Source organism: Homo sapiens, chromosome 12, assembly GCF_000001405.40.
Source record: "Homo sapiens chromosome 12, GRCh38.p14 Primary Assembly".
In the NCBI taxonomy this organism is placed as follows: domain Eukaryota; kingdom Metazoa; phylum Chordata; class Mammalia; order Primates; family Hominidae; genus Homo; species Homo sapiens.
In genome coordinates, this window is record NC_000012.12 from 103,476,475 (window position 1) to 103,500,464 (window position 23,990).

The following is a 23,990-nucleotide window of genomic DNA, read 5'->3' on the forward strand; positions in this document are numbered from 1 at the left end:
ACTATTGGATTCCCACTAAAGGATTCTGATTGGTCCAGACTGGTTCATATATCCATCCTGATAGCCAAGAGGCCAAAGGATTGTGCTTGGGCTGTTTCCAAAACCACTTGGTGGGAATGGAGAGAAGCAGTTTCCTAAAAGAAGTGTTGTGTAAGGGGGATACTTTTCTTGGGCAGACAAAAGAGTAAATGTGTACTTTATGACCTCATGGAGTGAGAAGATTAAATAATGTAAAGAACTTACTAATGGCACATAGCAAGTTGTCCATAAATGCTAGCAAAGATGATGCTAATTTTCTTCATCACTATTATTATCAATCCCTACTGCAAAATAATACAATCAATAGTAGGGTATTTACAGAAGGATACTTAATATATCACATTGAGTATTACTTACTGATGTCAGTTGTAAATCTGGCTACTCATATAGCACTCTTAGTGAAATAACAAAGTACAATGGCCATAGATTTCATACTTCAATTTGAATTCAACTCATAATTCAAATTATAGAGATTTCACTGTGATCCAGCTTACTGAAAAAAAAATGTGATGTTAAGGGATGAAATTTAAAAATTGATTCATTCATGCATCATAGCTCTTATGTACCAGACACTGAGCTAGACCCTGAGTAACACAGGGGAACAAAGCTGGCCAAGTTTCTACCCTAAAGGAGCTTACTTTTCAGAAGTGGAGCCACAGAGGAGTGGGAAGTGTTATGAAGAAAAACAATACATGGTAAGATTAGAAAGCACAGGATAGATTTTAGGTGTAGTGGTCATGGCAGGACCTCTGGGCAGAGATATGAACAAAGTATTGGAGTAAGCCATAAGAATCTCTCGGTGAAAGTGTTCTACTCCAAGAGAAGAGTAAGTGAGCACCAAGTCTGGAGGGTGGGTGGTAATGTGGCCACAGTAAAGTAAGCAGGGGAAGGGGACAGGAATTTAGAGAGCTTGCCCACATTCCTGGCCAGATGTTCATGTCCTAATGCCTAGAACCTGTGAACATTACCTTAGGTGGCAAAAGGAACGTTGCAAATGTGATTAAGAACCTTGAGAAAGGGAGATGATCCTGGATTATCCAGGATCCAGTATAATATAATCCAATATAATGGTTGAAGAGGGAGGCAGAAGAGGAGGTTGGAATGATGTGATGTGAGGAAGACTGAACCCTCTGTAACTTGCTTTGAAGATGGAGTAAAAGCAACAGGAGTCAAGGAATTCAGACAGCCTTCAGAAGCTGGAAAGGGAAGGAAACAGAATCTCCTCTAAAGTCTATAGAAAGGAATGAAACCTTGCCAACGCCTAGATTTTAACCCAGTGAGCCCTGTTTCAGACTTCTGAACCTACAGAACTAAGTGGAAGATAGTACACTTGTACTGTTTTAAGCCACTAAGTTTGTGGTAACTTGTTACAGCAGCAACAGAGAACTAATACAGAATCATTCTTACCATTACCAGAGCATTTGTAGTTTTTTATATGTCAGTGAAAAGTTTGTCTTCAGTTAAAAGCCCAGGCTTGTGCAACTTCTTAGGAACAATACCAGCAGCTTTAAAGTGAGCACATGTGCCTCAATCCTAATGGTGTGGGGTTACCTTAGTAACATAAGAAATAAATAATAGCAAAGACAACACATTTCTAAGTTTTCCTAGCATAAATGTAATGTGTCCCTAATAGTGGGAAAAAAATAATTTATGAAGGCATTTAAAATTATGCTATAATTTACAATGATGTGAGTATGGATAAATATGGAAACTAAGAGGATTATCTAAAATATAATATCAATGACACTGAATCAAGAATCACAATTAGTGGCTGAAATGGAGCAAACCTATTAACCTAAAAAAAGTAAGAAAATATAGTATCTCTTATGCATTACCTGCATCCTGTTTGCAAAAGGTCTGATGGTTAGCAAGAATTCTTCTTCCCTTTGTTTCATACATATCACTGTAGACATTAATTTGACAAGTTCAACTCCCTATAAACAAAGAATGGAGAAAGAAGAGCAGGTTTACAATGATGCAATGATAATATTAGAGAAAAAAATGACATCTTTAAGAGCCAGAATCATCCTATCCATGAACATAGTATTTCTTGCCAGTGACTTTCAATAATTTTTTTTTTTTTTTTTTTTGGGGGAGACAGGGTCACATTATGTTGCCCAGGCTGGTCTTGAACTACTCCTGGACTCAAGCAATACTCGCACCTTGGCCTCAATAAAATTCTATACTTTTCTGCATAAAGTTCTTGATCATCTATTGCAAGATATAATCCTAGGTGGTGCTTGCTTTGGTTGGCTGGTTGGTTGGGGGAAGTGGGGGTTGCACTGTAATGATGTCTTTTAAATCATCTTTCTAATCATTTCCAAAGTATAGACATGCAATTTAATTTTATACATTGTTTTAAAACAGCAAGCTAGTTAATTCCAAAAAATATGTCTGTTGATTATTTGGGGATTTTGATGTGAACAATTGTATCACCTAGTAATAGTAATGGCTTTGTTCCTTTTTATTCAAATTTTTGAACTTTGAGTTTTCGTCTTATTGCACTAGTTTACATCTCTAAAACATATAGCTTAGGTCCTCAAGAAGCAAATAAAACTTAGGCCCTCATTTGCACAGGCCCCTGTGAGTTTCAGGAGTTATTAGGATTTGCAGAGTATTCTAGGTATAGAAAGGGAAGCCTAGTGAAATTGGGAAGCATTTCCAATAAATTGTTTTAAAAGATCTCAGAATAGAAAGACCTAATCTCTAAGTCTCCAATATTCTTTGTGCATTCTTCCTTATATCAATTTTAATACATAATTTCTTATTTGTAGTTCTGAGGCTTGAGTTTTGAGATAGTTCAATCAATAGGAAGTTAAGGCAAGGAATATTGGTTACAGAGGTGTTAAAGGGTTGAAAAAGAAAAGAAGACTAGGTGTGGAGTTGCAAAAAATAAGAGGAGGTGATATCAACAGGTCAGTAAATACTAACACTCATGAATCAGAGCCCCCAAAATAGTATAAGTTTCAGTCTTCACAGAAGTTGGATATGCTTGGTTGTTCCTGATGTTAACAGAAATTCATACATTTCCCCATCAAGTATGATATTTGTCATATTTTAATATTTTTGTAGATGTCTTTATCAAGTAAATTTTTCTTCTATTCCTAGTTTGTAGAAGTTTTTGGTTTTAAATTAGAGACAGATAGTAAATTCTATTAACTATCTCCTCTGCAGCTGTTAAGAAGATTGTATATTTCCTTTCAATGATGCTGAAGTGATGCTACATTAACAAAATTTCCAATATTAAATGAACCAGGCATTCATGAGATAAAAAACAACGCAGTCATAACGTATTTTATTTTTAGTACAGTGCTGGATGGTGCTAAATTTTGTTTGTTAATATTTTATTTTGTTTTCTTCTTCAATGATCACAAGTGAAATTGCCTTTTTCCACTTTATAATGTCCTTACCTTATTTTAGTGTCAAAGTTATGCTAGCTGCAAAACATTTGGAGAATATTCTCTTTTTCTAACCACTGATAGTTTGTATAGGATTTAAATTACTTGCCCCTTAAATATCTGAATAACTATATTGGTAAAAATCTCCTTATTCTGATGTTATCTTTGTGGGAAAAATTTAAACTATTAATTCAATTTATTTAATGATTATAGGGTTATTTATATTTTCTATTTCTTTTTGTGTCAGTTTTAGTAAACTGCATTTTTCAAATAAATTATTTTATTTCCTAGATTTCCAGATTCATTGACTTTAAAACATATGTAATACACACATATTTTTATCTATTCAGCATAAACAATTCTATTCCATTATGTCCCTGTTTTAATTCTTAATGTTATTTATAATGCATTTCTCATTTTTCTATTGACAAATATTGCCACAGTCTTGTCAATTTTATTAATTTTTTCAAAGCACAAACTTTTATATTTGTGGATTCTTTTTATATGTTTATTTTCTAATTCATTCATTTTTCTCTGTGGGGGGTGTTTGTTTTAAATTATTTATTCTCTTTCCTATACATTTTGGGGGCTTATTCTGCTATTCTTGTGTTTTTAATTCACTGTTTAGTCTTCTTTTCTAATGTATTTAAATAAGTGTATTTTCTTCTAATACTACTTTCCCTGCCTCCAATGTTTTGAAATATAATGCTTTTATTATCTCTCATTTCTAATGCTTTTGAATTTGCATTTTGATTCGTTAACCCATATGTTGTTTAAATGTATGCTATTTCCCAATTATCTTTTTGCTATTAATTTTTAAATTGGTTACATTTTGATTCAAAAATAAGATTTGTTTGATATCAATTCTCTGAAATTTATTGAGAATTTTATAGTCTCCATGTAGCCAATTTTAATAAATATTTCATATGTGCTTAGATTCAATATTTTTGAATTATTGGATGTAATCTATAACTGTTCATTAGATCAAGCCTATTAATTATGTTCAAATCATCTATATCCCTTGATTTTTTATCTGCTTCATCTGTTAATTACTGACAGAGATATATTAAAATCTCCCACTAATGTATTGGGTCTTTCTATTTTTTTCTGTAGTTCAGTCAATTTTTATAATTTTGAGAGTTTATAATTAGCTGCATTAAAGTTTAGAGTTATATCTTCTTAATAAATCATTTTATTATATAGCTTTCTTCTTTATCTCTACCAATTTTTTTCCTTAGACAGTCTTTAGTATGATGTTAATATAGCTATAGCAGTTTTCTTGTTAGTTTTGCTAACACAGTAAAACCTATGCCATAGTGTGATAAGTAATGTCCAAAAATAAAACATGGGTTTATGTATGTGGCTGAAGAAATATTTTTAGTTACTCTGTTCTATCATGAAAAAATCCCAAAAGTAAATAAGGAAAAACTTGTCCTCTAAGAAACTGAAGAAATGTATACCATACAGGAAAAGTCTTAAATGATCAAGAGTCTGTCACATCCTAATCCTACTCATCTCTCAACAGAAGAAAATAAATCTAGCCTGTCCCTATTTAAAAGTAAAGGGAAGGACAGAAGTCGAATGCTGAAGACATTCTTTCTAAATTCTTTTTTTATTGGTATTTTTGTGGGCTACAATTTCCTGGGGGTTTACTACATATTTTTTTCCATACTTGAACTTTTAACATTTTTGTTCCTTATGGTTTGGGGTGTGTTTTCTAAAATCAACATAAAGCGAGTTACTTTAAAAAAAAAATACCGTCTGACAACCTTAACTAAGAAGTTTAGCCCTTTTCTGTTTATTGTGATAATGGATATATTTGGACTTAATTTCTACCATCTTGTATGTGCTTTCTACTTATCTACGTGTCCTGGTTCTTCTGTTTTTTGTTTGGGTTTTTTTTTTCCCTACACTTTTAGAATTGACTAAATTATTTTTTCTTTTTCTTTTTCTAGTTTCTCCCCTCTACGTCTTGGAAGTTATTCATACAATTTTACCTTTATAATAAAACATGTATACTAACTTACAATCTAAGTATTTTATAAATTTAACACTCTTGTAAATAAAACAAGGTTCTTTAACATGGACCACCCACTGCCAAATTCAAAGCTGTTGTTGTCCAATATTTTAGCTGCCTAAATTGCTGTTCTTTTCCCCCACAAGTTAGACGTCACTATTATTGTTCTAATTTTTTGCAGTCAACTATTATTTTGATTTATGCACATACTTATCAATATGTTTCATAATCAGCCTTTTTTGCATCTCAAATCTGTCTGGGATTACATTTTTCCTTCTTAAGGAAAATCCTTTACAATCACCTTTAGTGAGGGTCTACTGGTGGTAAACTCTCAGGTCTGTTTGGAAACGTCTTTATTTTATCCTTGCACTTGAATATAGTTTTGCTGGGTGTGCAGTTCTAGGTTGACAATTATTTTCTCTCAGTCCACTTAAGGTATTATTCCACCATCTTATAGTTTTCATTATTTCTGTTGTAAAGATCGTAGTCAGTCTGTTGCCAATGCCTATTCTCTACAGTGTTTTGGGTTTTGTTTTGCATTTTGCTTTATTTTGTTTTGTTTCTAGTCTTCTCGCTTGTCCCTTCTGTGGCTTAAGATCTTTTGTGTGTATATGAATGTGGATTTTTAGTTTCATTTTCATGAATCTAGATGTGAATTGTTTTTTATGCGTACTGTCTGTGATTTGCTGGACTTCCTGTATGTTAGGATATATATCTTTGAATAATTCTGAGAAGGGTTTCAGTCGTTATCTCCTTAAATATTACCTCTCAACTTATGTTTCTATTATCCTTATGGAATTCTGATTAAATTTGTTAGACCTTTTTCTCTATTTTCCATGTCTTTTCACTTATTCTTTTTGTTTATTTTTTCTTTTTTGTCTCCCATCTTTCTAGCCACTGGATAATCTCTTTAGATTTACATTCCAGTTCATTAAACTCTTCTTCAGGTTCTTCTTATCTACTATTTAACTTGCCTATTGAATTTTTAATTTAAATATATTTCTATAAGTTTATTTTTACAATATGACTGATTTTACTTTATGCATCTGTTTCTTGCTTATAGTTTTGAACTTATTTTTCCTCTCAATATAGTAAATATACTTAATTTCATATAATATCAAAAATCTATGCAGGTCTAAAATTGGTGTCTGTTATTTCTGTTGTCTCTCAGACTACCTCTTTGCTTGTGGGTATTGTGATTTTGGACAGTGAGCTTCTCATTTTAGTTTGAACCTTATATGTAAAATTCCAAGCACCAAGAGTGAACTCTAATGTGAACTATGGATTTTGGGTGATGATGCGTGTAGGTTAATCAGTTGTAGCAAACGTACCACTTGGATTGGGTTGTTGATAATGGGGAACACTGTACATGTGTAGGGGCATAGCGTATAAGGGGTATGTGTCTACTCTACTCTCAATTTTGTTGTGAACCTAAAACAGCTCTAAAAAAATAAAAAATTTAAGAAAATTCTCGAAGGCCTGTGTTTAACTCACAGTTTCCCAGAAAGGATCCAGCCTCAGGCCATTTTAAATTAAATTCTCCAGTTGAAATTTTTTTTCAGACCCTCAAAAACATGGCATAAGGACTCAAGCATTTATGAGAGCTGGCTTGTAGTTACGAAAATTATGGTTACGATTTTTCTTCACCCCTCCCACAGTAAAAGTTGAATCAAGCAGCCGTTTTTTTGCTGAATTTTTTATGTCAGGTTTATGTTTTTTTTATTTTTCTTTTTTTTCTTTCTTGTTTATTATACTTTAAGTTCTAGGGTACATGTGCACAACATGCAGGTTTGTTAGATAGGTATACATGTGCCATGTTGGTTTGCTGCACTCATCAACTCATCATTTACATTAGGTGTTTCTCCTAATGCTATCCCTCCCCCAGCCCCCACCACATGACAGGCCCTGGTGTGCGATGTTGCCCATCCTGTGTCCAAGTGTTCTCATTGTTCAGTTCCCACCTATGAGTGAGAATATGCAGTGTTTGGTTTTCTGTCCTTGTGATAGTTTGCTGAGAATGATAGTTTCCAGCTTCACCCACATCCCAGCAAAGGACATGAACTCATCCTTTTTTATGGCTGCATAGTATTCCATGGTGTATACGTGCCACATTTTCTTAATCGAGTCTATCATTGATGGACATTTAGGTTGGTTCCAAGTCTTTGCTATTATGAATAGTGCCGCAATAATCATATGTGTGCATGTGTCTTTATAGTAGCATGATTTATAATCGTTTGTGTATATACCCAGTAATGGGATTGCTGGGTCAAATGGTATTTCTAGTTTTAGATCCTTGAGGAATCGCCACACTGTCTTCCACAATGGTTGAACTAATTTACACTCCCACAAACAGTGTAAAAGCTTTCCTATTTCTTCACATCTTCTCCAGCATCTGTTGTTTCCTGACTTTTTAATGATCGCCATTCTAACTGGTGTGAGACAGTATCTCATTGTGGTTTTGATTTGCATTTCTCTGATGACCAGTGGTGATGAGCATTTTTTTATGTGTCTCTTGGCTGCATAAATGTCTTCTTTTGAGAAGTGTCTGTTAGTATCCTTTGCCCACTTTTCAATGGGGTTGTTTTTTTCTTGTAATTTGTTTAAGTTCTTTGTAGATTCTGGATATTAGCCCCTTGTCAGATGGGTAGATTGCAAAAAATTTTCTCCCATTCTGTAGGTTACCTGTTCACTCTGATGGTAGTTTATTTTGCTGTGCAGAAGCTCTTTAGTTTAATTAGATCCAATTTGTCGATTTTGGCTTTTGTTGCCATTGCTTTTGGTGTTTTAGTCATGAAGTCCTTCCCCATGCCTATGTCCTGAACAGTATTGCCTAGGTTTTCTTCTAAGGTTTTATGGTTTCAGGTCTAACATTTAAGTCTTTAATCTATCTTGAATTAATTTTTGTATAAGGTGTAAGGAAGGGATCTGGTTTCAGTTTTTTTTTTTTTTTTTTTTTTTTGAGAAGGAGTCTCTCTCTGTCGCCCAGGCTGGAGTGCAGTGGCACAATCTCGGCTCACTGCAAGCTCCACCTCCTGGGTTCATGCCATTCTCCTGCCTCAGCCTTCTGAGTACCTGGGACTACAAGTGCCCGCCACCATGCAAGGCTAATTTTTTGTATTTTTGGTAGAGACGGGGTTTCACCATGTTAGCCAGGATGGTCTCAATCTCCTGATCTCGTGATCTGCCCGCCTCGGCCTCCCAAAGTGCTGGGATTACAGGCATGAGCCACCGTGCCCGGCCCAGTTTCAGTTTTCTACATATGGCTAGCCAGTTTTCCCAGCACCATTTATTAAATAGGGAATACTTTCCCCATTTCTTGTTTGTGTCAGGTTTGTCAAAGATCAGATGGTTGTAGATGTGTGCTGTTATTTCTGAGGCCGCTGTTCTGTTCCATTGGTCTATGTATCTGTTTTTGTATCAGAAACATGCTGTTTTGGTTACTGTAGCCTTGTAGTTTAGTTTGAAGTTAGGTAGTGTGATGCCTCCAGCTTTGTTCTTTTGGCTTAGGATTGTCTTGGCAATGTGGGCTCTTTTTTAGTTCCATATGAACTTTAAAGTAGTTTTTTCCAATTCTGTGAAGAAAATCACTGGTAGCTTGATGGGGATAGCACTGAATCTATAAATTACCTTGGGCAGTATGGCCATTTTCATGATATTGATTCTTCCTATCCATGAGCATGAAATGTTCTTCCATTTGTTTCTGTCCTCTTTTATTTTGTTGAGCAGTGGTTTGTAGTTCTCCTCAAAGAGGTCCTTCACATCCCTTGTAAGTTGTATTCCTAGGTATTTTATTCTCTATGTAGCAATTGTGGATGGGAGTTCACTCATGATTTGGCTCCCTGTTTTTCTATTATTGGTATATAGGAATGCTTGTGATTTTTGCACATTGGTTTTGTATCCTGAGACTTTGCTGAAGTTGCTTATCAGCTTAAGGAGACTTGGGGCTGAGATGATGGGGTTTTCTAGATATACAATCATGTCATCTGCAAACAGGGACAATTTGACTTCCTCTTTTCCTAATTGCATACCCTTTATTTCTTTCTCTTGCCTGATTGCCCTGGCCAGAACTTCCAACACTATGTTGAATAGGAGTGGTGACAGAGAACATCCTTGTCTTGTGCCAGTTTTCAAAGGGAATGCTTCCAGTTTTTGCCCAATCAGTATGATATTGATTGTGGGTTTGTCATAGATAGGTCTTATTATTTTGAGGTATGTTCCATTAATACCTAGTTTATTGAGAGTTTTTAGCACGAAGCGCTGTTGAATTTTCTCAAAGGCCTTTTCTACATCTATTGAGATAATCATGTGTTTTTTGTCATTGGTTCTGTTTATGTGACAGATTACATTTATTAATCTGCATATGTTGAGCCAGCCTTGCATCCCAGTGATGAAGCTGACTTCATCATGGTGGATAAGCTTTTCGGTGTGCTGCTGGATTCGGTTTGCCAGTATTTTATTGAGGATTTTTGCATCAATGTCCATCAGGGATATGGGGCTAAAATTCTCTTTTTTTTTTGTTTTGGTATCGGGATAATGCTGGCCTCATAAAATGAGTTAGGGAGGATTCCCTCTTTTTCTATTGATTGGAATAATTTCAGAAGGAATGGTACCAGTTCTTCTTTGTACCTCTGGTGGAATTTGGCTATGAATCCATCCGGTCCTGCACTTTTTTTGGTTGGTAGGCTATTAATTATTGTCTCCATTTCAGAGCCTGTTATTGGTCTATTCAGAGATTCAACTTCTTCCTGGTTTAGTCTTGGGAGGGTGTATATGTCCAGGAATTTATCCATTTCTTCTAGATTTTCTAGCTTATTTGTGTAGAGGTGTTTACAGTATTATCTGATAGTAGTTTGTATTTCTGTGGGATCAGTGGTGATATCCCCTATATGATTTTTTATTGAGTCTATTTGATTCTTCTCTCTTTTCTTATTAGTCTTGCTAGCAGTCTATCAATTTTATTGATCTTTTCAAAAAACCAGCTCCTGGATTCATTGATTTTTTGAAGGGATTTTTGTGTCTCTATCTCATTCAGTTCTGCTCTGATCTTAGTTATTTCTTGCCTTCTGCTAGCTTTTAATTTATTTGCTCTTGCTTTTCTAGTTCTTTTAATTTTGATGTTAGAGTGTTGATTTTAGATCTTTCCTGCTTTTCTTGTGGGCATTTAGTGCTATAAATTTCCCTCTACACACTGCTTTAAATGTGTCCCAGAGATTCTGGTATGTTGTGACTTTGTTCTCATTGGTTTCAAAGAACATCTTTATTTCTGCCTTCATTTCGTTATTTACCCAGTAGTCATTCAGGAGCAGGTTGTTCAGTTTCCATGTAGTTGTGCAGTTTTGAGTGAGTTTCTTAATCCTGAGTTCTAATTTGATTGCACTGTGGTCTCAGAGACAATTTCTTGTGATTTCTGTTCTTTTACATTTGCTGAGGAGTGCTTTACTTCCAATTATGTGATCAATTTTAGAGTAAGTGTGATGTGGTGCTGAGAAGAATGTATATTCTGTTGATTTGGGGTGGAGAGTTCTGTAGATGTCTATTAGGTCTACTTGGTGCAGAACTGAATTTAAGTGTTGGATATCCTTGTTAACCTTCTTTCTCACTGATCTGTCCAATATTAACAGTGGGGTGTTAAAGTCTCCCATTATTATGGTGTGGGAGTCTAAGTCTCTTTGTAGGTCTCTAAGGACTTGCTTTATGAATCTGGTTGCTCCTGCATTGGGTGCATATATATTTAGGGTAGTTAGCTCTTCTTGTTAAATTGATCCCTTTACCATTATATAATGGCCTTCTTTGTCTCTTTTGATCTTTGTTGGTTTAAAGTCTGTTTTATTCAAGACTAGGCTTGCAACCCCTCCTTTTTTTTGCTTTCCATTTGCTTGGTAGATCTTCCTCCATCCCTTTACTTTGAGCCTATGTGTGTCTCTGCATGTGAGATGGGTCTCCTGAATACAGCACACTAATGGGTCTTGACTCTTTATCCAATTTGCCAGTCTGTGTCTTTTAATTGGGGTATTTAGCCCATTTACATTTAAGGTTAATATTGTTATGTGTGAATTTGATCCTGTTATTATGATGTTAGCTGGTTATTTTGCCCATTAATTGATGCAGTTTCTTCATAGCACTGATGGTCTTTACAATTTGGCATGTTTTTGCAGTGGCTGGTACTGGCTGTTCCTTTCCATGTATAGTGCTTCTTTCAGGAGCTCTTGTAAGGCAGGCCTGGTGGTGATAAAATCTCTCAGCATTTGCTTGTCTGTAAAGGATTTTATTTCTCCTGCACTTATGAAGCTTAGTTTGGCTGGATATGAAATTCTGGGTTGAAAATTCTTTAAGAATGTTGAATATTGGCCCCCACTCTCTTCTGGCTTGTAGGGTTTCTGCCGAGATATCTGCTGTTAGTCTGATGGGCTTCCCTTTGTGGGTAACCCAACCTTTCTCTCTGGCTTCCCTTAACATTTTTTCCTTCATTTCAACCTTGGTGAATCTGACAATTGTGTGTCTTGGGGTTGCTCTTCTTGCGGAGTATCTTTGTGGTGTTCTCTGTATTTCCTGAATTTGAATGTTGGCCTGCCTTGGTAGGTTGAGGAAGTTCTCCTGAACAATATCCTGAAGAGTGTTTTCCAACGTGGTTCCATTCTCCCCATTACTTTCACGTACACCAATCAAACATAGATTTGGTCTTTTCACATAGTCCCATATTTCTTAGAGGCTTTTTTATTTCTTTTTACTCTTTTTTCTCTAAGCTTGTCTTCTCGCTTTATTTCATAAAGTTGATCTTCAATCTCTGATACCGTTTCTTCCGCTTCTTGAATTGGCTATTGAAGCTTGTGCATGTGTCACGAAGTTTTCATGCCATGGTTTTCAGCTCCATCAGTTCACTTAAGGTCTTCTCTACACTGTTTATTCTAGTTAGCCATTCGTCTAACCTTTTTTTAAGGGTTTTAGCTTCCTCACAATGGGTTTGAACATACTCCTTTAGCTTAGAGAAGTTATTAAAGACCTTCTGAAGCCTACTTCTGTCAACTCATCAAAGTCATTCTCCAACCAGCTTTGTTCCATTGCTGGCAAGGAGCTGCAACACTTTGGAGGAGAAGAGGCACTCTGATTTTAGAATTCTTAGCTTTTCTGCTCTGGTTTCTCCCCATCTTTGTGGTTTTAGCTACCTTTTGTCTTTGATGTTGGTGTCCTACAGATGGGCTTTTGGTGTAGATGTCCTTTTTGTTGATGTTAATGCTATTCCTTTCTGTTTTTTAGTTTTCCTTCTAAAAGTCAGGTCCCTTAGCTGCAGGTCTGTTGGAGTTTACTGGAGGTCCACTCCAGACCCTGTTTGCCTGGGTATCACCAGCAGAGGCTGCAGAACAGCAAATAATGCTGCCTGATCCTTTCTCTGGAAGCTTTATCCCAGAGGGGCACCCACCTGTATGAGGTGACTGTCAGCCCCTAATGGGAGGTGTCTCCCAGTTAGGCTACACAGGGGTCAGGGACTCACTTGAGGAAGCAGTCTGTCTGTTCTCAGAGCTCAAACACCGTGCTGGGAGAACCACTGCTCTCCTCAGAGCTGTTAGACAGGGATGTTTAAGTCTGCAGACGTTACTGCTGCCTTTTGTTCAGCTATGCCCTGCCCAAAGAAGTGCCTCTATGGAGGCAGTAGGCCTTGCTGAGCTATGGTGGGTTCCCCCAGTTTGAGCTTCCCGGCTGCTTTGTTTACCTATTCAAGCCTCAGCAATGGCAGACGCCCCTCCCCCATCCACACTGCAGCCTCACAGGTTGACCTCAGACTGCTACGCTAGAGTGAGCAAGGCTCCATGGGCATGGGACCCACTGAGCCAGGCACAGGAGAAAATCTCCTGGTCTGCCGGTTGCTAAGACTATCGGAAAAGTACAGTATTTGGGCAGGAGTGTCCTGTTTTTCCAAGTATAGCTTGTCACGGCTTCCCTTGGCTAGGAAAGGGAAATCCCCTGACCCCTTGCACCTCCCAAGTGAGCCAATGCCCCGCCCTGCTTCAGCTCACCCTCCATGGGCTGCACCCACTGTCCAACCAGTCCCAGTGAGATGACCCAGGTACCTCAGTTGGAAATGCAGAAATCACCCGTCTTCTGTGTCGATCACACTGGGAGCTGCAGACCAGAGCTATTCCTATTCGGCCATCTTGGAACAGGAACCCAAACTATGTCAGGTTTATGTATTGCTCCTTCCTACACTAGGATCCCAGCTTTATGTTTCAGCTAAGCTCCCCACTTTATTTCTAACAGCCTATCTTCTGTATTGCCATTAAAATTTAAATCTTAGTCTCTGACATTTAAAAGAAATCCTTTAAGTTCTGGCATTCTGTTATTTCTCAGGATTTCTACCTTTATGCCAGCTCATAAATGCATCTTACAATGTTTTAAAAATATTTTATCCAGTTTTTAGTCAATTTGGAGAGTTATATAGGATAACTGGTCTGAAATTCTCTTAAAAATACAAAATCCCCCATTTTATTTCTAAGTTATCTTTATTAATTTTTTAAACTATTGCATTTTGTATTTATTTGGTATTGAATCAGTTTATTCAATATTATTATTTATCCATTGATTTTATTTTCACATATCAGTGAGCAATGTTATTTGCAATTAGTGATCTTTTTCTTCCTTTTCAACGACTATGCCACTTATTTCTGTTTTACATCTTATTTAATTTTCTAGAATTTTTAGAACAATCCAAAAGAATAATGGCAATGATAGGTCTCCTTGTTTTAATTGTAATTTTAATTTTAAAGTCCTCTAGTGTTTTTCATTAAGTATGATAATTGCTTTCATATTAAAATAGTTTATTATGTTAAATAAGTATCTATCTCTTTCTAATTTATAAAACATTATAAGGAGTAGTTTTATAATACATTTGGTATTTAATAGAATTCCCATATGATTATTCTTGTTTATTATATTATTGTTATATATTCCTAGAATTCCTAATATTAAACCATTCTGAAATAATATCTAGTGGGTAGTAGCATACCTTACATTGATGAATTAAATGTGTGCATAGGGTTTTTAGAACATTAGCATCTATATGCCTGCATAAAATTGTTGATTTTGTTTTATCATACTCTTAGTCCAGTCTGGCAATCATATAAATTAGAAAAATTTCACCAGTGTTTATGTATTAAATTTCTATAATGTGGAACTTCTTTTTCCTTAAAACATTTAAAGAACTGACTCGTAAAACTATCTGGGCTTAGAACTTTTTTGGGAATTAAATATTTGAAAGCATTTTTCATCTTTGTCATAACTATTGTTCTAATCAGGTCATCCACCTCTCCTTGAGTTAATTTTAATTATTTTTTCCCATCAATATAATAATATTTGTTGGGCTATTTTAACTGCATAGTTTACCACTGAATTCTACATAGTAGTTTTTATATTGAATCTCTATATGTACTATAACAAGAGGAAACTCTGGTGCATCCATCCCATTTTCTTGGAATTGTAGATGTAGTAGCTTCTGTTGTACTCTCCAGAAAAAAATATAGAAACAAACACTCCTTGCCTCAAGAGATAATTGGCGAGATTAAAGAAAGCCTTATATCTAATGGACCAAATTTAGCAGGAATTAGGTAATAAGGTTCCACCTCTACACTCTATTGTTATCTGGCTTCTCCTTTTGCTTCCCTGTGCTCAGACATGGCAGGCCTTGAGCTCCTTGTTTCTACATGGCAATCACACCTTGTAAACCTTGGCAAATGTCAGTCACTATTATTTCTACCCCCAGATCCTCCAATGTAATTTGTGAGTTATCTTCAGTCAATTTGATTGGAGAGAATGGAAAACTCACCCTGGCTTAAAACTCAAGCCTCATTTCTCACTTTAATCTTTATCATGGAGCCCTTTACTCAGAGAGTCATTTTAGTGGACATCAATAAAGCTGATAAGCTGAATCAAAATAGGCCTTATTCTATGAGCCAGGACTCTGAAGGGAAAAAGGAATTCCTGACTTCCCAAACATAACCCCCAACTTGTTAGAAACTCCTTGTTTTCAATTTTGTTTTTTTTTTGTTTGTTTGTTTAAGATAGAGTCTCACTCTGTCACCCAGGTTGGAGGGCAGTGGCACGATCTCAGCTCACTGCAACCTCTGCCTCCCAGGTTCAAGTGATTCTCACGCTTCAGCCTCCTGAGTAGCCGGGATTACAGGCGTGCGCAACTACGCCCAGCTAATTTTTATACTTTTTAGTAGAGATGGGGTTTCACCCTGTTAGCCAGGCTGGTCTTGAACTCCTGAGCTCAAGTGATCCACCTGCCATGGCCTCCCAAAATGCTGGGATTACAGGGGTGAGCCACCGCACCTGGCCCTCATTCTTAATTCTATGTGTTTGTGGTTTATCTTTTCCTTAAATACATTATCCAGCAATTTGCATCTTACTGTTTCACAGTCTGAAATAGGAGATTCAGTCTGCGTCAAAAGCAACTGTAAACACCTCAACTGCCTGACTTCACAGGTCTTCGTCCTAATATTCCTCTAGTCACATGGCATATCTTCTTTCCATAAACTTGCTCCTTTCTGCTAGCTTCTTTAACCTTTAACAAAAATTTCCTCTCCCTCAACTGTGTTTCATAGACTTCTACTTATTCATGGCATCCATTTGATCATAATCTTTAATGGTTCTTTCTCCAGCTCATGACTTTTCAATTCCTTCCCTGATGCAAACTGCCAGATTATCTCAGTATTTCCAGTTCAGAGTCAGGAAGTGGAAAATCTTACCAGCCCAGCTCATCCCTTCATCCCATGCCACATCATAGATCCCAAGAAGCTTAGGAAAGGATGAGGGCATAGGGCAAGTCAAGTGTCTGTCTCCAGGCCCACCATCTCCTTTAGGCCACCTCAACAACAGTTCAAAATTAACCCGTCGAATTATTGATCCACACCCCCATCTTGATTCTCTTCCCCATCTCTGCAATGTGCACCACCATCTGCCAAGTGTGCTACCGTCAGTTCCTCCCTTTCCCTCTTCACCCCACGCAAGCAATCTCATCCATCAGCTCTCATCAGTTCTTTCTCTAAAGTAGATCCTAAATCCATCTTCATTTCCATTAACACTACCTTAATCCAGGATTAAGGTTTCTGCTGTTGCTTGTCTGGATTACTACAGCAGCCTTCTAACAGCTTCCTAACCACTTGTTGCACTTTCCATTCTTTCCTTCATTCAATCCATATTCTACAAAGCAGAGGTAGTGGTGATAAAATATAAATTCAGTCACATAGATCCCTCAAAATCCTTCAGTAGCTTCCTATTTCTCTTAGAATAAAATCCAGTATTTTCCCACATCTGATACAGCTTTCGACGATCTGATTCTGGCTAATCTCTCAAACCTCATCTTGCAATATTCTCCCCACACTCACAATGTTTCAGCCACATCAGCGTTGCTTCAGTGACTCAGGATCCCTGAAGCTCTTTTCTGCCTCAGGGCCTTTGCACATGCCTCTGCTTGCTTGATGTTCCCCACACTCACAATGTTCTGGCCATACCAGCCTTGCTTCAGTGACTCAGGATCCCTGAAGCTCTTTTCTGCCTGAGAGCCTTTGCACGTGCCTCTGCTTGCTTGGTGTTCCCCTGCATTCTCACTTGCTTTAGGTCCCAGCTGAAATGTGATTTCCTCAGAGAGGACTTGGCCACCCTAAACCAAAGGGAACCTCCCTCAACTTGTAGCTCTTTATTTTACCCCCTTACATCTTCATATTTTTGCCCTCCTCTTTAAATTATTGGTGGAGGGGAAACTACAAAGAACACGAAAAAAGCAAAAGCCAAAAGGGGAGACAAAAAAAAAAAAAAAAACCTTAGAGATAAGAAAAAGGAGAAAAAGACAAGAAATTAAGAGGAAATACGCATGAAAGTATTAGCATTTATGGAAAATAAGTTCATAAAATTGTTAAATACACTTAAATGTTATACACCCCTAAAGCAAACATTCTTACTACTTACTTCTAACTCTTAGATAATGATTTCTAACTTCATCTTCAAGATAAGTCATCTTTCTTTGAATTCCAGTAAGTACAATATTCACTAGTGTAAGAATTTACCAAAACGAAGGCTCAAAATGAGTTAGAAGTATTTGAAAAAGTCATTATGAGCCCCTAGAAGAGTCTAATGCTTCTTTTCTCATTGTAAGTTTGCATAGCAAGGATCTAAGACAAGTTTTAAAATAAAACAACCCTCTCTTAGGGCCATGGGTACATGAGGCATCATTTCTCCACAATAGCCTGGCCCTCTCGCCTCCCTTTGTCTTCTGCAATGCCTCTTTGTAACTCACAGGTGTTTGTGGGCATAAAGCCCATCAGAAGGGAGTTTATTGTGAAGAGTTCTTTCTTTGCCACTTGTTCTAAACCTGTTCAGAGAGTGCTCCATGCCTTAGACCAAATCTCCATAAAAATCAAGAAACAAGAAGTTTTCTGTACGCCTGTACAACAGCCACACTATGACATTAGTTTCGACAGCTCTGTGACCCTGTATTGTCCCAACTTTATTCACTAGTCTCTTTTTCTCTTTCTCTCTCCATTCCTTTTTTTAAGCCTTTATTGGCATTTTTTTATCTACTGTAAAATAAAAAGGAGGAGGATGGGTGGGGGTTTTTTAAGCACTCTATGTGGCAGATAAAAAAAAAACCACTATCTGCAGTTACTGTAGTAATGGTTTCAAAAAACACCTGCAAATCAAAGAAAGACACCACGGCAGTGTCTTCAGACTTTTTTTTCCTCTTCTTCTCTTAAAGTTCCTTCTTGGCCATTTTAAGTAGGCCCGGCAATGAATTTATGTGACAGCTATGAAGTTAGTATTAAAATTGTGAATAGTGCCTAGCAGTTTTCATGCCCTTAGTATAAGATCGCCTCAATTTGCCACACAGCGGTGAATAGGGTAAAGAAGGGAGGGGGTGTCGAATGAATGGGAGGAGGAGGTTACGTGAATGGGAGGGTTTCCCGGGAGGGGGCAGCACAGTTGTCACAGGGAGAAGAGTGATTTATTTTTGAAATTCCAGAAAGGAAGACCAAAAGAAGCTGCCTAAAAGATCCTGAAGTGCGGGGTTGGGGGGATGTGAGATAAATAATATGTCTACACACATTTAACAAGTGTCAAGGCCAGCTCTAGAAGTAGGGACAGGGTGGGGGCGGCGGTGGTAAATCCATTCCTCTGGTCTTCCAAGATTCAATATTAAATGCCAGCAGGGAGCAGATGTGGGCAGGGGCTGCAGAACAGGGGTAAGGAGCGCTGAAGGAGGGGTTAAGCGTTTATCTCAATGGAAATTAACCACTTGGGGGGAATTAAAAGAGAGCTGGAGCGGGCGGGGAAGGTTAGGGGGAGAAGCGGGACAGGGAGAGTGTCTCTACATGTAAAGAGAGGAACTTTCCTGGTGCGGAGATCTGGGGAGGGCATTCAGTAAAATGAGGTGAGCAGGGCTGCAAAGAGCAAGGCGGGGCGTGCCCTCCACCGCCCCCAACCGCTCCGCCCGGCCCCTCCCCCGCTCCCTCCCCCACCCCTCCCCCTTCCTGTATTAGCATGCGGGCGGCGGCGAGCCGGCCGGGTGGGGAGGGCGGCGGTGGCATCGCTGCGCGGGGCGCATTGTGGGCCGCGCTCGCCTCCGCGGGGGACCATCTGCTCGCTGTCAATGCATCACCTGCTCGTCTGGGCCGTCGCCGGGGCAACGGGGGGCGGGGGATTAAGGAGCGTGTGCGTCTCGGTCCGGGCCGAGGCGGCGAGGTGGGGGTTGGGGCGGGGGAGGAGAGCTCCTTGGCCCCCCACCCCCCTGCCCCGAGACGGGTCGACCCGCTCGGGGGCCGGCGACCACCGCGACGGGTTCCGCCGCTTGCCTCCGCTCCTTGGCCTTTGCTGCCGTGCTGCCTCTTCTCACGGGCGCGGCTGGAGTCCCGGGGAGCAGCAGAGAGCAAACGGTCCGGCTCTACCTCACCCTGCCAGGGGGCGAGTCCCGCGCTCCCTGCGTCTACCTGGAGCTGCAGGGTCCCTATCCCGGGGCGCCGCCCGCAGCCTCCTCCGCGGGAGCTGGAGCACTCTGCTGGGTCCTGGGGACGCGGCGCAGCGTGGTTCCAAGCGCTCCGCAGTCGCCGGGCAACCACAATGGGGCTGCCTTGCCGTGAGACCCTCCCCCGCGACTGCCACCAAAGTCACAGAAAACTTTCACACCTCTCATCTGACACTGTGGCCTGTGCACGACTCCAAGCACTGGGGAAGCCTTCGACATCAGAATATGAATGGCACCTGTTCTTCCGGGGGCGGCAAGGGGGATCCCGATGTTTATCAAAATGGGTTGATTTTCCACGGAGGGGGTACTTCTGGAGGTAGTAATCCCCAGAAATCCTGAAATTCCCCCTTCCACCTACTCATCTGCCTCGAATTGTAAACCATTTTGAATAGAGGAGTAGTGCATCCAGGAATAATGCAGCCAACAGCAGGGGGCAGAGCAAGGCTGTAGATGGGGACAGTGGCCATTTGGGGATACTTTTAATCCAAAGTCATGCTAGTTGGTTTAGAAACTTCTGAGGAATTTTACTCTCTGCTCTTCCTCATCTCTATCCCACCTCCGACTGGTCAAGGACATTTAGCTGTGCCAACAAAGGTCGTTCTCATCTGCCTGAGGAGTCCACACACTTCAACAAAGGACTGGTTAACACCCCCTAATTCCTGCCCATAAGCTGTCCATAGGCTGCACAGAACCAAAGAGTTGTTAAGTCTTCATCACAACTCATAATATATAAATATTTTTTCTGGGCTAGCTAATTACTGAACACTCTTCTGCAGAATCACAGGACCAAAAGAAAGTGGACATTCACACCTGAGTCCCAGGATGGACACCCTCCCCACCACCCCACACACCCACATCTAAAATATTTCTAGCCGGGAAAAAAAAAAAAAAAGCAGCTTGTTTTTAAAGACTCTTGAGTCTTGTTAGATCTCATTCAAAGGTCTAGCAACTCTTGGGAAGCCAACAGCCTTTCTCTGACTTAGCAACTCAAACCCATTTTCTGCATTTATTTCTTTAAAAAAAAAAGTAAGTTTGTACTATTGACCCTATGTTCATCTTTTCCAGCTAAAGTCTCGTGATCATCGAGTAAAATTTCTCTCATCCTTTTATAATTTCTAGATAGAAACACCATGAATCAGGCTAATTTTATGATTAAAATGCATTTTTTTAAATTTGCTGTGACCACACAGAAAATGACAGTTCCACTAATGTATCACTTTCTTTTTATCATTCATATGCAAGAGAGAAAAGTCAACTATCAAAATATCCATGGCTTTGACATAATAGATGAAGGGGAAAAGGTTTGTATGTATAAACTTGCTCCAAATATAAAATTCTACCCACCATTTTACTTTAATTATGACTTCCATAAATTAAAGTTGAGAGTTCTGAGAAGACATGCCCTTCAATCTACAAGGTACTCCTAAATACATAGAATCATGGCATCATTCCAACTTAGAGAAGGGATGAGCTGAGTCCAACCCTCCTATCTATAGATAAGGTAGCAAGCCCCAAAATGGTAAGTGACTGGCCCAAGACTGTACTGCTAGTGGCTATGGATACCCAGTGCTCTCTTAACCCCAACAATATCACAGAGGTGCAGCTTTGCACACCAAAAACACCTGAAAATGCCCTTTGTCTACTCTGTTACCATTCCTACAGCTGCTGTTTTCACTACAGAAATGAGAACTCTTCATCAATTTCAGCAAATAATCCTTGAGTACCTATCACGTGTCAGGCAAAATAAACAAAGATCCCCATCCCTGTAGAGCTCATTCTTTTGTGGTGCAAACAGATTTTAAAAGAAAGAAAAGGCTGGGCACGGTGGCTCACGCCTATAATTCCAACATTTTGGGAGGCCGAGGCAGGCGGATCACTAGGTCTGGAGATCGATACCATCCTGGCTAACATGGTGAAATCCCGTCTCTACTAAAACAAAATAAAAAAAATTAGCCGGGTGTGGTGGCACGCGCCCATAGTCCCAGCTACTCAGGAGGCTGAGGCAGGAGAATCGCTTGAACCTGTGAGGCAGAGGTTGCAGTGAGCAGAGACAGCGCCACTTCACTCCAGCCTGGGTGACAGAGCGAGACTCCATCTCAAAAAAAAAAAAGAAGAAAGAGAGAAAACTATTCATTTATTGAACATCTAATCAGCTACGATGAGAGGGAAAAATGTATTCACAAATAAGATATGGATGTCAACCTTAAAAAGAGAAAAGCATACATGAGAATCAGAGCAATGCAATCAACTAGAAAATAATCTCAATATGACAAAGTATCATGAAGTACAGAGAAGGCATCAGGTAATTTTGCCTGGGCAATGTCATAGAGAAGATGTCATAAATTTGGCTATATAATAGCAGTCCCTGGTACCTAAACAGGGTATGGCACATAGCAGATGCTCAATAAATCGTTGTTGGATGAATGCATGAATGAACAAATGAATACTGCATTTTCCAAATAGTCAAAAGGAGGAAGATATTTAAGGCAAAGATATGACAGTATATGAAAATGTGGTACATATATACAATGGGATATTATTCAGACAAAAAAGGAAGAAAATCTCCCCACTTGTGACAATATGGATGAGCCTAGAGGACATTAGGTTAAATAAACCAGTCACAGAAGGACAAACACTGCATGATCTCACTTATGTATGGAATATTTAAAAGTCTAACTCCACCCAAATGCCCATCAATGATAGACTGGATAAAGAAAATGTGGTACATATACACCATGGAATACTATGCAGCCATAAAAAGGAACAAGATCATGGCCTTTGCAGGTACATGGATGGAGCTGGAAGCCATTATCCTCAGCAAACTAACACTAGAACAGAAAACAGAAACACTGCATGTTCTCACTTATAAATGGAAGCTGAACAATGAGAATACATGGACACAGGGAGGGAAACAATATGCACTGGGGCCTGTTGGGGGGTGGGGTTGGGGGAGGGAGGGCATTAGGAAAAATAGCTAATGCATGCTCGGCTTAATACCTAGGTGATGGGATGATAGATGCAGCAAACCACCATGGCACACATTTACCTATGTAACAAACCTGCACATGTACCCCAGAACTGAAAATAAAAATAAATTAAAAAAAAAAGTCTTAACTCACACAAGCAGAGAGTAGAATGGTAGTTGATAGATGATGGGGAGCGAGGAGGATGGGGAGTAAGGGAAATGGGGAGATGTTAGTCAAAGGGGATAAACCTTCAGTTACAAGATCAGCAAGTTCTGGTGATCTAATATACATAATGGTGACTAAAATTAATAGTGCTGTATTACATACTTGAAATATGCTAAGACAGTTCTCACCACCACACACCAAAAATGGTAATTATATGAGGTGATGGATGTCCTCATTAGCTTGATTGTCATCATTTCACAATGTAGACATATATCAAATCATTACATTGTACACGTTAAATGTAGAAAGTTTTTATTTGTCAATTATACCACACCAAATCTGGGGAAAATGTTTTTTAAGGAAAGTTATCACAGTATGAACAAAGGTTGAGGGGCATCTGTATTTAAGGAGTGATGAGTGAGCCATGAACTGTGAGCAAAACAAAACAATGGAGAAGAGAAAGGAAGATGGCACACTGGCTTGGAGGTATGTTGAGAAGGGATTTCACTACCATGCCAAGAATGTGGATTTTGTCCTGAGGACTAATAGTTTTCAACAGCAGCACACTTGTTTTAAGCAGAATCTTGTAAGAAATCCAAACAGGATAAAACTGATCCATATAGAGCTGTCCTAATAGAAGCAGGGATATGCCCCCTGCCCACAGTCTCACCATCCAGCCATGGCTGGGGACTCTATACTGCCCTTTGAAATACTGTTTGAACATCAGTACAACTGGCAATGAGTCATCTTTGAACTTTATCAGACATAAGAATGTGAGTTTAGAAGGAAAGGAGAAGTCAGGAAGAGCAGTTAGAATGCTATTGAAATTGTTCAAGCACAAAATAATAAGAACTTAAATTAGATCAGTAACATTCATAGTGAAATGGAAAATAAAGAGATTTTGAAAACAGAATCCTTAATATACAAGGTCTTCCTGCATCAGAGAAAATAATTTTACCTCTGGCACGTCTAAGTTTGGATATCTTTTTAAATGATAATATATTACAAACTTCAGCCTTTTAACTGTTACTATGGCTAACACATTCTCACATTTGCAAAAGTTTATGAAAAAACACAAATTCCTTTGCAGCAAACTGCTTAAATGATGGTTCATATGTCAGAGTATAGATTTTGGGATCCTAAGAGAAGCCAATGGAAGCTACAGAAAGTTAGCAAAAAGTGAAGCATGTTTGAAAGATATCTAATACCCCTTTCATTTACTAACCAGGCATACCAATTTTTGACCAACGATCAAAACCATCATGACCCTTTCCCTACACTTTCTCAAATGTAAGCATTGAAGTTTTTTCTGAAAAGTTACATAAAATTATTCAGTACCCACTTACATTTAGTTACAATTGCCCAGTAAAAGCCCCTCCTGGGTAGAAGGCTTGTGA

At 38.7% G+C, this 23,990-nt stretch overlaps 1 protein-coding gene and 1 long non-coding RNA gene across 33 annotated transcripts in view, besides 2 other annotated features; one reads left to right on the forward strand and one right to left on the reverse strand.

Annotated features, from left to right (window-relative positions):
* The window catches only part of C12orf42 (chromosome 12 open reading frame 42), a 516,167-nt gene that overhangs the window by 428,851 nt on the left and 63,326 nt on the right, over positions 1-23,990 (reverse strand). For 17 of the 32 annotated variants that reach the window (XR_001748690.2, XR_007063073.1, XR_001748691.2 and 14 more), the window contains one exon: positions 1,875-1,973. Coding sequence is in view for 17 of the 32 variants with exons in the window: in XM_017019281.2 (XP_016874770.1) it covers positions 1,875-1,973 (99 nt within the window). In the remaining 15 variants the exon portion in view is untranslated. Of the gene's footprint in view, positions 1-396; positions 533-1,446; positions 1,591-1,874; positions 1,974-16,832; positions 16,916-16,942; positions 17,081-19,099; positions 19,178-19,292; positions 19,495-19,623; positions 19,662-23,990 lie in introns of those variants that run through there. The other 15 variants (XM_017019278.2, XM_017019280.2, XM_017019279.2 and 12 more) reach the window with 8 other exon arrangements.
* Positions 18,852-18,961: a silencer, noted in NCBI's record as "silent region_4779". NCBI's record gives its function as "represses an Ori minimal core promoter by ATAC-STARR-seq in GM12878 lymphoblastoid cells {active_cell/tissue: GM12878}" and the evidence as "EXISTENCE:reporter gene assay evidence [ECO:0000049][PMID:35858748]".
* Positions 18,972-19,211: a silencer, noted in NCBI's record as "silent region_4780". NCBI's record gives its function as "represses an Ori minimal core promoter by ATAC-STARR-seq in GM12878 lymphoblastoid cells {active_cell/tissue: GM12878}" and the evidence as "EXISTENCE:reporter gene assay evidence [ECO:0000049][PMID:35858748]".
* Positions 19,566-21,221, forward strand: LOC105369945 (uncharacterized). The gene is made up of 3 exons (NR_135004.1): positions 19,566-19,778; positions 20,705-20,763; positions 21,125-21,221. It is a non-coding gene; the product is annotated as an uncharacterized LOC105369945 (long non-coding RNA).